Source organism: Homo sapiens, chromosome 2 (genome assembly GCF_000001405.40).
Source record: "Homo sapiens chromosome 2, GRCh38.p14 Primary Assembly".
Classification (NCBI taxonomy): Eukaryota; Metazoa; Chordata; class Mammalia; order Primates; family Hominidae; genus Homo; species Homo sapiens.
The window spans coordinates 96732018-96745528 of record NC_000002.12 but is presented as its reverse complement, the minus strand read 5'-3'; the positions used below and the strand labels follow the sequence as shown (position 1 = coordinate 96745528).

The following is a 13511-nucleotide window of genomic DNA, read 5'->3' as shown; positions in this document are numbered from 1 at the left end:
CTCTGTCATGGGGTGAAGGGGCATCAGGCTTCAAGGTGCTCCTGAGTGGAGGTACTTCTTTGGTTGTTGTTGTTTTTAATTTTTTAAAAGGGACAGGGTCTCAACATCTTGCCCAGGCTGATCTTGAACTCCTGGGCTCAAGCGATCCTCCCAAAGTGCTAGAATTACAGGCATGAGCCACTGCGCCCAGCCCTGCTCTTTGGTTTGGAAGACAGGAAGGTAGAGGAATCATGCAGAACTGCTGGAATGCACAACTCACATTGCATATGAATACCCCGGCCCTGAAGTTGTGCAGCCCTAGATCGTGGGAGATAGATGATTCCACAGAGAAAAAGGGGACCACTAGGCAGCTGAAAGGATGGTAGCGCAAGACCTGAGCCAGCTTTCGGAGGTGCCTCTGCGTGTGAGTAAAAGGTGGCGTTGAAGGGGCCATGGCTACTTGTTCTCTTTCCCACTACCACCCCTCAACACCTTGACTGTGTTGAACTTAGCTGAAGCTTGTGCTTCTGAAAAGCACCTACAGTAAAGAAATTCCCCATCCTTTTGTCTTCCTTCCATCTCACTTTGTAGACTCCGTTGTCCAGGCTGGAGTATAGTGGCGCGATCTTGGCTCACTGCAACCTCTGCCTCCCAGGCTCAAGAGATTCTCATATCTCAGCCTCCCAAGTAGCTGGGATTACACACACGTGCCATGATGCCCGGCAAATTTTTTATGTATTTTTAGTAGAGACAGGGTTTCACCATGTTTGTTGGCCAGGCTGGTCTTAAACTCCTGACATATGATCTGTCCGCCTCAGCATCCCAAAGCGCTGGGATTACAGGCATGAGCCACTGCGCCCAGCTGAGAGATGGCTGTCTTAACGGACTACCCTGCTCTGGAATATCCCAAGATAAGACCCACTTCCACCCTTCCTCAGTGACTCAGATAAGACCCTCTCCATCCTTCCTCTCACGAAAGATCCCTTGTTTACCTGGATTACCCCAGGTCTCCTTCCTTTTGTTTTGCTTTGAGATGGAGTTTCACTCTTGTTGCTCAGGCTGGAGTGCAATGGCGTGATCTCGGCTCACTGCAACCTCCGCCTCCTGGGTTCAAGCAATTCTCCTGCCTCAGCCTTCCAAGTAGCTGGGATTACAGGCACCATGCCTGGCTAATTTTTGTATTTTTAGTAGAGACAGGGTTTCACCATGTTGGCCAGGCTGGTCTCGAACTCCTGACCTCAAATGATTCCGCCCTCCACCCCCACCTCGGCCTCCCAAAGTGCTGGGATTGCAGGTGTGAGCCACCGAGCCCCGCCTGTCCTTCCTTTCCTTTTTTTTTTCTTTTGAGATGGAGTCTCACTCTGTTGCTCAGGCTCGAGTGCAGTGGCATGATCTTGGCTCACTGCAACCTCTTCCTCCTGGGTTCAAGCGATTCTCCTGCCTCAACCTCCCGAGTGGCTGGGACTACAGGTGTGCACTACCACGCTTGGCTAATTTTTGTATTTCTAGTTGAGATGGGGTTTCACTATATTGGCCAGGCTGGTCTCGAACTCCTGACCTCATGATCCACCCGCCTCAGCCTCCCAAAGTACTGGGATTACAGGTATGAGCCACCGGGCCTGGCTCTTCCTTTTCTTTGATACATTCCTCATTAATAAGCATTCTTCCTATTGCAACAGTCTGAACAAAATGATTTGATTTATAGTCCAGTGCATCTCACCTTTCACACCCTTCTCCTTTATTCCCCTTTTCCTCATCACACAGAATTTTACAATGAGATTTCTGCTTGTGTCAATCTATCAGAAATTCAGCTGACAGGGTGCATGACACTGCGAATGAATTTAATGCCTTTGAACTGAACACACATGGTCCTGACTTAATGATGGTTTGACTTAGGATTTTTAGACTTTAGGATGGGTTTAGTTTTTCTGTAGGTAACCCCATTGTAAGTTGAGGACCATCTGTACTTAAAAATTATACGCTGTATTTTATGTATTTTTTTTCTTTTTTTTTTTTGAGACAGAGTTTCACTCTTGTTGCCTAGGCTGGAGTGCAGTGGCGCGATCTTGGCTCACCGCAACCTCCACTTCCCAGGTTCAAGCGATTCTCCTGCCTCAGCCTCCCAACTAGCTGGGATTACAGGCATGCGCCACCACACCCGGCTAATTTTGTATTTTTAGTAGAGACGGGGTTTCTTCATGTTGGTCAGGCTGGTCTCGAACTCCCGACCTCAGATGAGCCACCCACCTCGGCCTCCCAAAGTGCTGGGATTACAGGTGTGAGCCACCGCGCCCGGCCTTTATGTGCATTTTACTACAATTAAAAATTCATCTTGCAGAGAAATGCAATGGAAATAATTTATTCAAAACAATTAGAACCCCTACTATGTGCTGGGTGATAGGTTGGGGTTGGGGAAATGGGTGGGGCCTGAGTTAGGAAATGAGTAAGACCTGCTTCCTGTGGTCCTGGAGCTCCCAGCCTTGCTGCGGAGACAAACCCATAATCTGTTAATTGAGCTCCATAATTCCAGGTGACACACATTACAGTACACATGCGTAGCGCCTGATTTCAGTCAGGATGCAAAGGGCTTTGAATGCTACACTAAGGACTTTGGATTTTGGTAATTGGGAGTTATGAATGGTTTTAAAGCCAGTGTATGACACGAACAGATTCATTGCAATTCCTAAAGTCTTAGCACCAGACATTTGACATTGTAGGGTGTCAAAGACTGATGGCAGTGACAGGCTGGGCACCATGGCTCACACCTGTAATCTCAGCACTTTGAGAGATGAGGTGGGAGGATCGCTTAAGGCCAGAAGTTCAAAACCAGCCTGGGCAACATAGAGACCCCCATCTTTAGAAAAAATTTTAAAAATTAGCTGAGGCTCACCCAGCAGTTTGAGACTGTAGTGAGCTATGATCACAGTACTGCACCCCAGCCTGATGGATTGAGACCCCATTTCTTCTTTTTTTTGTTTTTTTGAGACGGATCTGCTGCTCAGGCTGGAGTATGGTGGTGGGATCTTCTTGACTCACTGCAACCTCTACCTCCTGGGTTCAAGTGATTCTCCTGCCTCAGCCTTCCAAGTATCTGGGATTACAGGCACCTGCCACCACGCCCATTTAATTTTTGTATATATATGTATATATATATTTTTCGAGACGAAGTCTCACTGTGTTGCCCAGGCTGGAGTGCTGTGGTGCGGTCTCGGCTCACTGCAACCTCCGCCTTCTGGGTTCAAGTGATTCTCCTGCCTCAGCCTCCTGAGTAGCTGGGACTACAGGCGTGTGCCACCACGGCTGGCTAATTTTTTGTATTTTTAGTAGAGATGGGGTTTCACCATGTTGGCCAGGATGGTCTTGAACTCCTGACCTCAGGTGATCCGCCTGCCTCCCAAAGTGCTGGGATTACAGGCCTGAGCCACCGTGCCCAGCCAAGACCCCATCTCTTTAAAAAAAATAGCTGTGACAGCTTTAATTTTAAAAAGTTGATCCCCTGTAAAGTAGGCTCATAATTATGTTTATCTTATTAAATATATTCATGCTCAGGAAAGCAAGAGAGTGTTAACTTTGGTTAAGTCTATTGGGAAGACATAAACACAGATCTGTCAATTGCTCTATATGAGATGTGCATGGAACACTTTGAGAGCTCAGACAGGAGAATCTACCCTGCCTGAGAGGTTTGAGAAGGACCTCCAGAAGGAAGTGGACTGCAGAAAAAAAAAAGAGGGAAGGGAAGCTGGAGCATAAAGATGGAGGAAAAGAGTCATGGGCAATAAGGCCAGGGCCAGATGGCAGGGGGCTTTGTGTGCCAAATTGAGGGGCTTGAATCTCCTCCCCACAGGTGATGGTGAGCCATCAAAGGCCCGGTTAATAAGAATGATGATGATGAAATAGCGCTTATGGCTTGGTGCGGTGGCTTACACCTCTAATCCCAGCACTTTGGGAGGCTGAGGAGAGAGGATCACTGAAGTCTAGAAGTATGAGACAAATCTGGGCAACTTAGTGAGACCTCCCCCACAACCCCATAGCTACAAAAAATAAAAATTAGCAAGGTGAGGTGGCACACACCTGTAGTCCCAGCTACTTGAGAGGCTGAAGTGGGAAGATCCCTTGAGTCCAGGAGGTTGAGGCTGTGGTCATGCCACTGCACTCCAGCCTGGGTGACAGAGAGAGACCCTGTCTCAAAAACAAAAACAAAAACAAAAACAAAAAAAAAAAGAAAAGAAAAAAGAAAGAAATAGTGCTTACTACACGCAAGGCACTGTTCTAAGAGGTTTACCAATATTGACTCATTTAACCCTGACACTTACCATGGTTAGATAGTTTGGATCACTTTAGTGGCTACGTGGAGACCAGTCTGGACACATGTTGTGGTGCCGGATAAAGACGAAGGGATGTGCCTGTAGTCCCAGTAACTCAGGAGGCTAAGGTGGCAGGATCACTTCAGCCAGGGAGGGAGAGGCTGGAGCTGAGATTGTGCCACTGCACTCCAGCCTGGGCAACAGAGCAAGACCTTGTCTCTCTTTTTTTTTTTTTTTTTGAGATGGAGTTTTGCTCTATGTGGCCCAGGCTGGAGTGCAATGGCTTGGTCTCGGCTCACTGCAACCTCTGCCTCCCAGGTTCAAGCGATTCTCCTGCCTCAGCCTCCCAGTAGCTGGGATTACAGGCACGTGCCACCACGCCTGGCTAATTTTTTTTTTTATTTTTAATAGAGACGGGGTTTCTCCACCTTGGTCAGGCTGGTCTCGAACTCCCAACCTCAGGTGATCCGCCTGCCTCGGCCTCCCAAAGTGCTGGGATTACAGGCGTGAGCCACCGCGCCTGGCCAAGACCTCGTCTCAAACCAAAAAGAAAAAAAAGAGGAAGGGAGGAAAGGAGGTGATGGCTTTTAGAATTAATTAATTTGTGTGCTTTCAGTTCTTTTATATCTGTAGGTTGCTTGATGGCCCAGACTATCACGGCAAAGGAGTCATTTGCATTTGAAGAGAATGTGTCTTCCGCAGTTGTTAGGTGGAGTTTCTATAAATATCATCAGGTCAAGTTAGTTGGTAGTGCTGTTCAAGTCTTTTATAAATTGATAGTTTTCCAGCTATTTTACGGATTTGTCTATTTCTCCTTTCACTGCTATATCTTCCAAATTGATTCAGAGAGCTGCAGTCAGGAGCGTACTATTGCAGAGAGGATAGAATGTTTGGGACCAGAAGAAACGTTTTATCTCTTTAAATTTACTCTCGTACGCAGAAAACAAAATACAAATAAACTACGTATCCCAGCAAGCCTAGTGGAACTCAGGGCAAATGCAAATAAGGGGGGGGGCTGGGCATTCGGCTACGCCCCTTTTCTGGGTTGGCAAGGCAACTGATACAGAAGCCAGCCAATCGGTGATATAGTCACCTGCAGGGGCGGGGGCTTGACGAAAGCCAATAGGACGCAGGGCAGATGGCTCTTCGGGCCAATGGGTTGGGCGACGGGGCGGGCTTTTGATGAAGGGTCGTTGGTGGGAAAGATGGCGGCGACTCTGGGACCCCTTGGGTCGTGGCAGCAGTGGCGGCGATGTTTGTCGGCTCGGGATGGGTCCAGGATGTTACTCCTTCTTCTTTTGTTGGGGTCTGGGCAGGGGCCACAGCAAGTCGGGGCGGGTCAAACGTTCGAGTACTTGAAACGGGAGCACTCGCTGTCGAAGCCCTACCAGGGTGAGGCGCCCAGGGTGAGGTGGTCGTGCAGTGGGGCGGGCTTCGGGACTTGATTTCAGGGGTAGAGGCGGGGGCGGCGAAGGGCTTCGTGGCCCGGAGGAAACTGCTGGCGGTGGTGGGGCCCACGGAGACTCCCTCCGCGTTTGGGAGCCACAGGTCTGAAAGGCAGGAGTTAGGTGTGCCTGCCAAGCTCTGGAAGTTTCCAGTAGGTAAAGGCAGGGCTGTCGGGTGCCACTAGTACTAGGCCTGGAGTTAGACAGGAGGAGTTTGGGAAGGGGAGAGAATTGAGAATGGTGAGGAGTGATTGAGGGCTACTAGCAATGAGCCAGTCTCCAGATGGACCTGTGGATGTGCTAGAAATAAAGCAGGAGGAAGAACTGGGGTAGAACTTGAACGAAATGAGAAGATGATAAATTTATGTTGCTGGGTAGAACCACCTTCTCTTCTCCAGCCTAGGGGCCCTGTTGGTGAAAGAGGTTAGGGTTCACAGAACTCTAAGCACAGCTTATCAGCCAGAAAATTAATGCAGTTAGCCACAAAACGATGACAAACCAGTGCAGATGGCTTAACTAACACAAGTCTTTCCCCACTAAGGCGTAGGTAGTGGGACAGAAAACAATTCAAAGTGCAAGAGTATACTCTACTACTAAGGGTAATCATTTATTCACTTACATGCCTGGAGTGCCTCTGTGCTGTCTCTTTGCTAATGCTTATGGGTTTGCAGACACAAAGTTTTCATTCTTAAAGAAGTTTATAGGTGAGGGTACAGGGAGTAGCTTCACACTTTAAGGATTGTTTAAAGAAAGAATGTGACGGCTGGGGCGGTGGCTCACGCCTGTAATCTCCGCACTTTGGGAGGCCGAGGTGGGCGGATCACGAGGTCAGGAGATTGAGACCATCCTAGCTAACACGGTGAAACCCCATCTCTGCTGAAAATACAAAAAAATTAGCCAGGTGTGGTGGCGGGCGCCTGTAGTCCCAGCTACTCAGGAGGCTGAGGCAGGAGAATGGCGTGAACCCGGGAGGCAGAGCTTACAGTGAGCCGAGGTCATGCCACTGCACTTCAGCCTGGGCAACAGAGCGAGACTCCATCTCAAAGAAAAAAAAAAAAGGAAGAATGTGACTAAGCCCCGGAGGCCTGAGGGTCAAACTCTTTTTATTTATATTTATATATTTTTAGAGACAAGGTCTTGTTCCGTTGCCTAGGCTGGAGTGCAGTGGCACAATCATGGCTCATGCAGTTTCAATCTCCTGGGCTCAAGCGATGCTCCCAACTCAGCCTCCTGAGTAGCTAGGACTATGGACAAGGACTACCACACCTGGCTAATTTTTTTTTTGGTAAAGACAGGGTCTTTCTATGTTGCCCAGGCTGGTCTCAAATTGCTGACCTCAAGATGCCCTCCCTCCACATCATCTCAAAGTGTGGGGATTACATGGGTGAGCCACTGCACCTGGCCTGTCAAACTCTTTTTGATATAACTCAGGAAAATTTTTTTCTTTTACGATGCTGAAGTTTACTCACATATAAAACGGGAAGAATGGATGTGAGCTATGGTTACTGTAACATGCATAAAGTGAGAGTTCTGATGTGCTTTGGGGTCCTTACCTGATAAAGGCCTTGTGAAAGCTGTAGAGATGGTAAGATTCATGACTGAGAGAAGATAGGAGATTGAGTGACATTAAAGGGGGAAAAAGATGATGGCTCAGCTTTCAGAGGCTCTGTGGTGGCTGCTTTCTGAATGGATTGGTGTTGAAAAGTATGAACTGATCTACTTCCTTCCTGTAGGTGTGGGCACAGGCAGTTCCTCACTGTGGAATCTGATGGGCAATGCCATGGTGATGACCCAGTATATCCGCCTTACCCCAGATATGCAAAGTAAACAGGGTGCCTTGTGGAACCGGGTGGTAAGAATCTTTCTCCCTCCTGTGTTGGTGACCCAGAAAGGCCTAAAAAGTTCAGCAGTGGCATACTGATTTAATTTTACTGTCTATCCCCCTGGTATTCTATCTTCTGTGGATATCAAGGATCTTTATTTTTGAGATTATTCTGACCTTGATAATAAATAAATCAGGTATTTAGGAAAATGCTCTCTATTTAATTATAGCAAATAATTCATTTTTTTTTCCTGAAATGTCGTTAATTCCTGATTGGCCCAATAGTACTACTTCTTAGGGTTTAATAATAACTTAACTCCTGCTTAACCACTTTGTAAGAAGATTATAAGAAGACCAGAGTGCAGTGGCACAATCATAGCTCACTGCAGCCTCAAACTCCTGGGCTTAAGGGCTCCTCCTGCCTCAGCCTCCTGAGTAGCTGAGACTACAGGCATGTGCCACTGCACCTGGCTAATTTTTAAAACGTTTTTTGTAGAGATGGGGTCTTGCTATGTTGCCCAGGCTGGTCTCAAACTCTTGGTCTCAAACAATCCTCCTGCCTTGGCCTCCCAAAGGTCAGGGATTATAGGTGTGAGCCACCGGTCCTGGTTGAGAGTACTCTTAAATTGATCCCAAACCTTATCCCAGCATCCCCATCTTGTTATTTCAATTTGAAGAGTCTGATATAAAATTTTATTTTCATGTGAAAGCCACTCTGAGCTGTTGGTCATTTTATTTGTCCTTCTCTGGACCTTTTCTAGCTGCATTGTCTTCCTTGAGGTATGGCGACAAGAAGTGAATGCAGTATTCCTGGTGTGGCTGCACTGTGATTTTGTACAAGTGTAAGATGATGCTTTCTTTTCTGTTTCCAGGGCTTTCTAAATCTTTTACGACCAGTTTACTTTTGGGCATGACTCTGGCATCCTTTGATACTTTCTCTGGAATTCTCTTAAACTAAGAACTTACTTTTTTACGTGGCTTTTCTCATTAGTTGTAGATAAGCGAATCTCAGAAAAGAGAACGATTTCTTTTCCCTGTTCAGGAGGGCAAGAGAAATTTCTACATTAGCTATCTGCACAAACTGGCCCCTTAACCTAGATCATAGTGCCGAGCTCATTTTTGGACAGAGTACAGAGCATTGTGTTTTCGTAGCAGAGATAAAGGACAGTTGAAAGACTGGGATTCTCGGTCCAGCTCTGTCACAGTCCTCCTGTGAGCCCTAGGCAGATTATTTAACTTCTTAGTTCTGTTTCTCTATCTGATAAATGAGCTTCAGAATACCTGTTTTACTTGCCCACTGGGGTTGTCGTGAGAATAAAATAGGACAATAGACATGAAAAGACTGTGGCAAGTTAAAATGGTTATAGAAATATGTGTTATGTTATTACACTTCTACAGGTTTGTTGATGGGGCTCTTGTGGGTTACCGGATGATTATGTTCAAGGCTTGATACTCTGCTGCTGTCTTGCTGGCTGTCTGTCTCTACATAACTTGTAGCAGCAGTTCTAGTATAGCCTCTAGTTCTTCCCTTTTTCGACTTCTGATACCTGTATTCGCTGTTATCTGGCTATCACCATGACTATGGGCTTGTTTCTGAGTTATTTGAATAGGATGCATTTGTTTCAGCAGTGGTTCTCAAATTTGGCTATCCATTGGAATCAATGCCTGGGTCTCATCCCCAGAGATTCTGATCTAATTGGAATAGGGTGCAGCTTGGCCATTGGGATTTTTTAAAACTCCGTAGGTGAATCCAGTGTGTGGCAGAATTTCAGAACCACAATTAGACATGGTCCTGAGCAAAACAGTATAGCATTGTGCTGTAGGAGGCCAGGAATCAGTGACAGACACCTCTTGGCTCACTGGGAACTTCTGTGACTCTGCCCTCTTCCCAGGGGCATAATACCTACCTCCTGGCAGCTTCCTGCCCCACTGAATTTCACTCTTTCTCTGAAAGCTATTTTTTTGAAACAGGGTCTCATCACTCTGTCGCCTAGGCTGGAGTGCAGTGGCACTATCACAGCTCACTGCAGCCTGGACCTCCTGGGCTCAAATGATCCTCCACCAAAGCCTCTCAAAATGCTTTGATTACTGGCGTGAACTACTGTGCCTGGCCTTTCTCTGAAATCTTTTTTTTTTTTTTTGAGATGGAGTCTCGCTCTGTCGCCCAGGCTGGAGTGTAGTGGCATGATCTCAGCTCACTGCAAGCTCTGCCTCCTGGGTTCACGCCATTCTCCTGCCTCAGCCTCCTGAGTAGCTAGGACTCCAGGCGCCCACCACCACACCGGCTAATTTTTTGTATTTTTTAGTAGAGACGGGGTTTCACCGTGTTAGCCAGGATGGTCTCGATCTCCTGACCTTGTGATCTGCCCACCTCAGCCTCCCAAAGTGCTGGGATTACAGGCGTGAGCCACCGCGCTGGGCCGTTTCTCTGAAATCGTAATGAAACAGCAGAGAGATAAGAATCCAGAGTGACAAGACAGAGACTGGCTCAATAGAGTAGGAGATTTCAGGCCCCTTGCTCAATGCAGGAGTACCCAATCCCCTTTCATTTTGACTGTGTACTTCTAATATGAACACTGTTGGAAAATATCCCAGAAATAAAGAATGAAAACTGAAAATGATCTAGCAATAGTTGCCCAGAACAGTCTATTTGGAGAGCCTTTGGCTGAACCCAGCTGGTCTGTCTGTTCTTCCTTCACTTCTTTCTTCACAGTAGACTTTTAACCAGAAGCTTCCCTAAATCAACTACCCACTCTGGTTTTTTCTTGAAACCGTTCAACTATTTAAAACACTTAACCATCCACTTGCATCCATCTTCAAGTGCATTTAAGCTTCTTGGCCATGGACGGGAGGGTTTGGGGACTGTAACTTGCTCTTCTTGTGAGAATTCTGGCTTACCCCTCAGCTTGGCAGAGGGCCAGGTCTAGCTAATTAGAGTTGTTTGTAGTATCTGCTAATTATTCCTGGAAACGTTTGCATAACAGCTTAGCTTTTCTTTTTCTACTGTAATAAATTAGGCTTTGACCTTTCTTTAAATCCAGCTTTTCAGAGTCTTTCTGTCTGAGGGGTGATCTTGAGTTGTAAATGAGTATGAATTCAGCCATCTGTACTCTAAAAGCCGAGCTACTTTGCTGGGTGGGTGTAGGATCACAGGAGTGGAGTTTGGTACACTCTTGTCTTTTCCAACTTTGGAGTTCTGTCCTGTTTCTGTTGGGAAATGTTGAAGATAATCGGGAGGTTTATTCATTTTCATATTAAATCTCTAAACAGTTGAATGGTTCAATCCGTTTAATTTTATGACATGAACACATAGCAAGTCTTAGATTTAAGTTTTAACCCTTAGTCTAGTGTTACCTGCATTTGTGTTTTCCAAGTCTGTTGATTGCTGATGTGGGCTTGAGGGGTTTTGCATTTCATGCTCCTCATTGATTCTAATGTCTTTCTCACTTTAGCCATGTTTCCTGAGAGACTGGGAGTTGCAGGTGCACTTCAAAATCCATGGACAAGGAAAGAAGAATCTGCATGGGGATGGCTTGGCAATCTGGTACACAAAGGATCGGATGCAGCCAGGTATTGGGAGCCTGTGTTACTCTTGTGTGGGTGTGACAGCCTGATTTTTCATGTGCCCTCTTTTTGAAAAGGTTCCTTCCCCACAGTGCCAGCTGTTTTCCCTCTCCCTTAATGTATGTGGATGAACACTGGCCCTTCTAGTCTCTAGAACGGGTCTGAGTCCTCATAAGCAGCTGAATTTGACTCATCCTGAGGCAGTTGCTTGCTTGTTACTTCTTTCTGAGTTTCCTTGTGAAACTACCTGGCCTGTTGGCTGGATGAAAGCACTGGCTCTCCTGAACGCTGACGATTGGGTGAGCTGATTTCTTCTGAACATTTACAGTGAATGATCTCAGCACTGCTGAGTCAAGAGAAGAGTTATCTATTTTCCTTGTGTTAGAGCTATTATTGCTCCATGTAGATGGCAGGCTCAACCTGATTTGACCTGATCTCTTTTGCAACAAGAAGGAGAACTAGGGAATTCAGTTCTCTCTTGGGGGCATAGTCTTTACCAATTGTTTGTAAAGCAGAATTCTGTAGGGGCACCTTAGCAACCAGTTTGGATCAGGAAGCTGCCTGAGTGCTAAATAAGGTTGCAGTGGCCTTCTCTCTTTCCCTTGCCTCCAACAACAAACAATTACAGATATTTACTGGGCACTTGTTACAGGCCATGCACTTTGCTGGGTACTTTTAAACATGTGTTTTCTCATCTTGAGAGAGGCTTGGGAGTCATTTGAATTTTACTTTTTCCTCCATCATAGTGATATATTATTCCTTTATCAACTCTTAGCTTTATTTCATTGTTCATCATCTGTTCTCTCTCTCTAGGGCCTGTGTTTGGAAACATGGACAAATTTGTGGGGCTGGGAGTATTTGTAGACACCTACCCCAATGAGGAGAAGCAGCAAGAGGTAATGGCAAGTGTCAGAGCCTAGGTCAGCTACACTGACATCACAGTTCTTTGCCTCAGGAATGTTGTACAGGAGGGAACAAAGGAGATAGAAAGTGAGGGGTTCTTCATCTGTTGAACTTTGAAAGTTAATGTCCTTGTCAGTGTTTTTTTCTAAAGGGACTATTTAGGAGTGCACAGTCTTTTGGGAATAGCTGTCTTGAACAGGGGCTTTTTCTTTAGTGATAATCATGTTCTCTCTTGTGCCTATTAGATAGCCACTAAAATTGAGCATGTTTGGTTGATTGGTGATTTGGCTGCTAGACCAGCACCAGAGCAAGCTGAATTTACGTAACTCAGCCTCCCCTGACTTTTAATCCATCAGTGCTGTGCTCTCTTCTGCAACTTGCACACACTTTTCAGCTTCTTTTTCTTCTTCTTCTTCTCAGACCTGAAGAACAGTTCTCCTCGCCTATAGAAAAGGCTATAATTGGCCAGGTGTGGTGGCTAACACCTGTAAGCCCAGCACTTTGGGAGGCCGAGGTGGGCAGATCACCTGAGGTCAGGAGTTCGAGACCAGCTTTGCCAACATGGTGAAACCCCGTCTCTACTAAATATATAAAAATTAGATGGGTGTGGTGGTGGGTGCCTGTAATCCCACCTACTCGGGAGGCTGAGGCAAGAGAATCACACCATTGCACTCCCCCCTGGGCAGCAGAGTGAGACTCTTGTCTCAAAAAAAAAAAAAAGAAAGAAAGAAAAGGCTATAACGAGAAGGAAACTGATGAAAGCCCAGCATTTTGTTGGAACCTAGTATCTGGCTGTTGGCAGGCCTTTTTGTTACCTGACCTAAGAGTTTTTTAGTGCTTTCTTTTTTTTTTTTAATTTTTTTTTTTTGAGACAGAGTCTCACTCTGTCGCCCAGGCTGGAGTGCAGTGGCGCGATCTCGGCTCACTGCAACCTCTGCCTCCCAGGTTCAAGCTATTCTTCTGCCTCAGCCTCCCGCGTAGCTGGGACTACAGGCGCATGCCACCACACCCAGCTAACTTTTGTATTTTTAGTAGAGACGGGGTTTCACCATGTTGGTCAGGATGGTCTCGAACCCCTGACCTCGTGATCCGCCTGTCTCGGCCTCCCAAAGTGCTGGGATTACAGGCGTGAGTCACCATGCCCGGCTATTGCTTTCTTATATTGACAGTGGGTTTGTACTCTCTCTATGTCCTACGGCACTGCCATCAGATGGTGGGAAATTATGACAGGTTGTTGCTGGGTATCCTGTAGCTAAGTACCTAGCGAGGAAATCAGGATTAGAAATAGAGGCAAAGGTCACATTATTTTTTTCCTCAAAGGTTTATTATGAAAATTTTCAAACTTAAAAAACATTAGAAGGCCAGGCATGGTGGCTCACGCCTGTAATCCCAGCACTTTGGGAGGCCGAGGTGGGCAGATTACTTGAGGTTAGCAGTTTGAGACCAGCCTGGCCAACATTATGAAACCCTGTCTCCACTAAAAATACAAAAATT

General features: G+C 46.4%; 1 protein-coding gene across 11 annotated transcripts in view, besides 2 other annotated features; it reads left to right on the top strand.

The window, feature by feature from the left end:
- Positions 5212–6149: an enhancer, noted in NCBI's record as "H3K27ac-H3K4me1 hESC enhancer chr2:97405117-97406054 (GRCh37/hg19 assembly coordinates)". NCBI's record gives its function as "activates a minimal SCP1, AML or CMV promoter by ChIP-STARR-seq in primed H9 embryonic stem cells {active_cell/tissue: H9 hESC(primed)}" and the evidence as "EXISTENCE:reporter gene assay evidence [ECO:0000049][PMID:30033119]".
- The window catches only part of LMAN2L (lectin, mannose binding 2 like), a 34136-nt gene continuing 26089 nt past the window's right edge, over positions 5465–13511 (top strand). For 2 of the 11 annotated variants that reach the window (NM_030805.4, NM_001142292.2), the window contains exons 1-4: positions 5465–5675; positions 7462–7580; positions 11003–11120; positions 11928–12010. In NM_030805.4, coding sequence (NP_110432.1) covers positions 5489–5675; positions 7462–7580; positions 11003–11120; positions 11928–12010 — 507 coding nt within the window. In that variant the 5' untranslated portion in view covers positions 5465–5488. Of the gene's footprint in view, positions 5690–7461; positions 7581–8311; positions 8393–11002; positions 11121–11927; positions 12011–13511 lie in introns of those variants that run through there. The other 9 variants (NM_001322350.2, NM_001322347.2, NM_001322356.2 and 6 more) reach the window with 7 other exon arrangements.
- Positions 6150–7089: an enhancer, noted in NCBI's record as "H3K27ac-H3K4me1 hESC enhancer chr2:97404177-97405116 (GRCh37/hg19 assembly coordinates)". NCBI's record gives its function as "activates a minimal SCP1, AML or CMV promoter by ChIP-STARR-seq in primed H9 embryonic stem cells {active_cell/tissue: H9 hESC(primed)}" and the evidence as "EXISTENCE:reporter gene assay evidence [ECO:0000049][PMID:30033119]".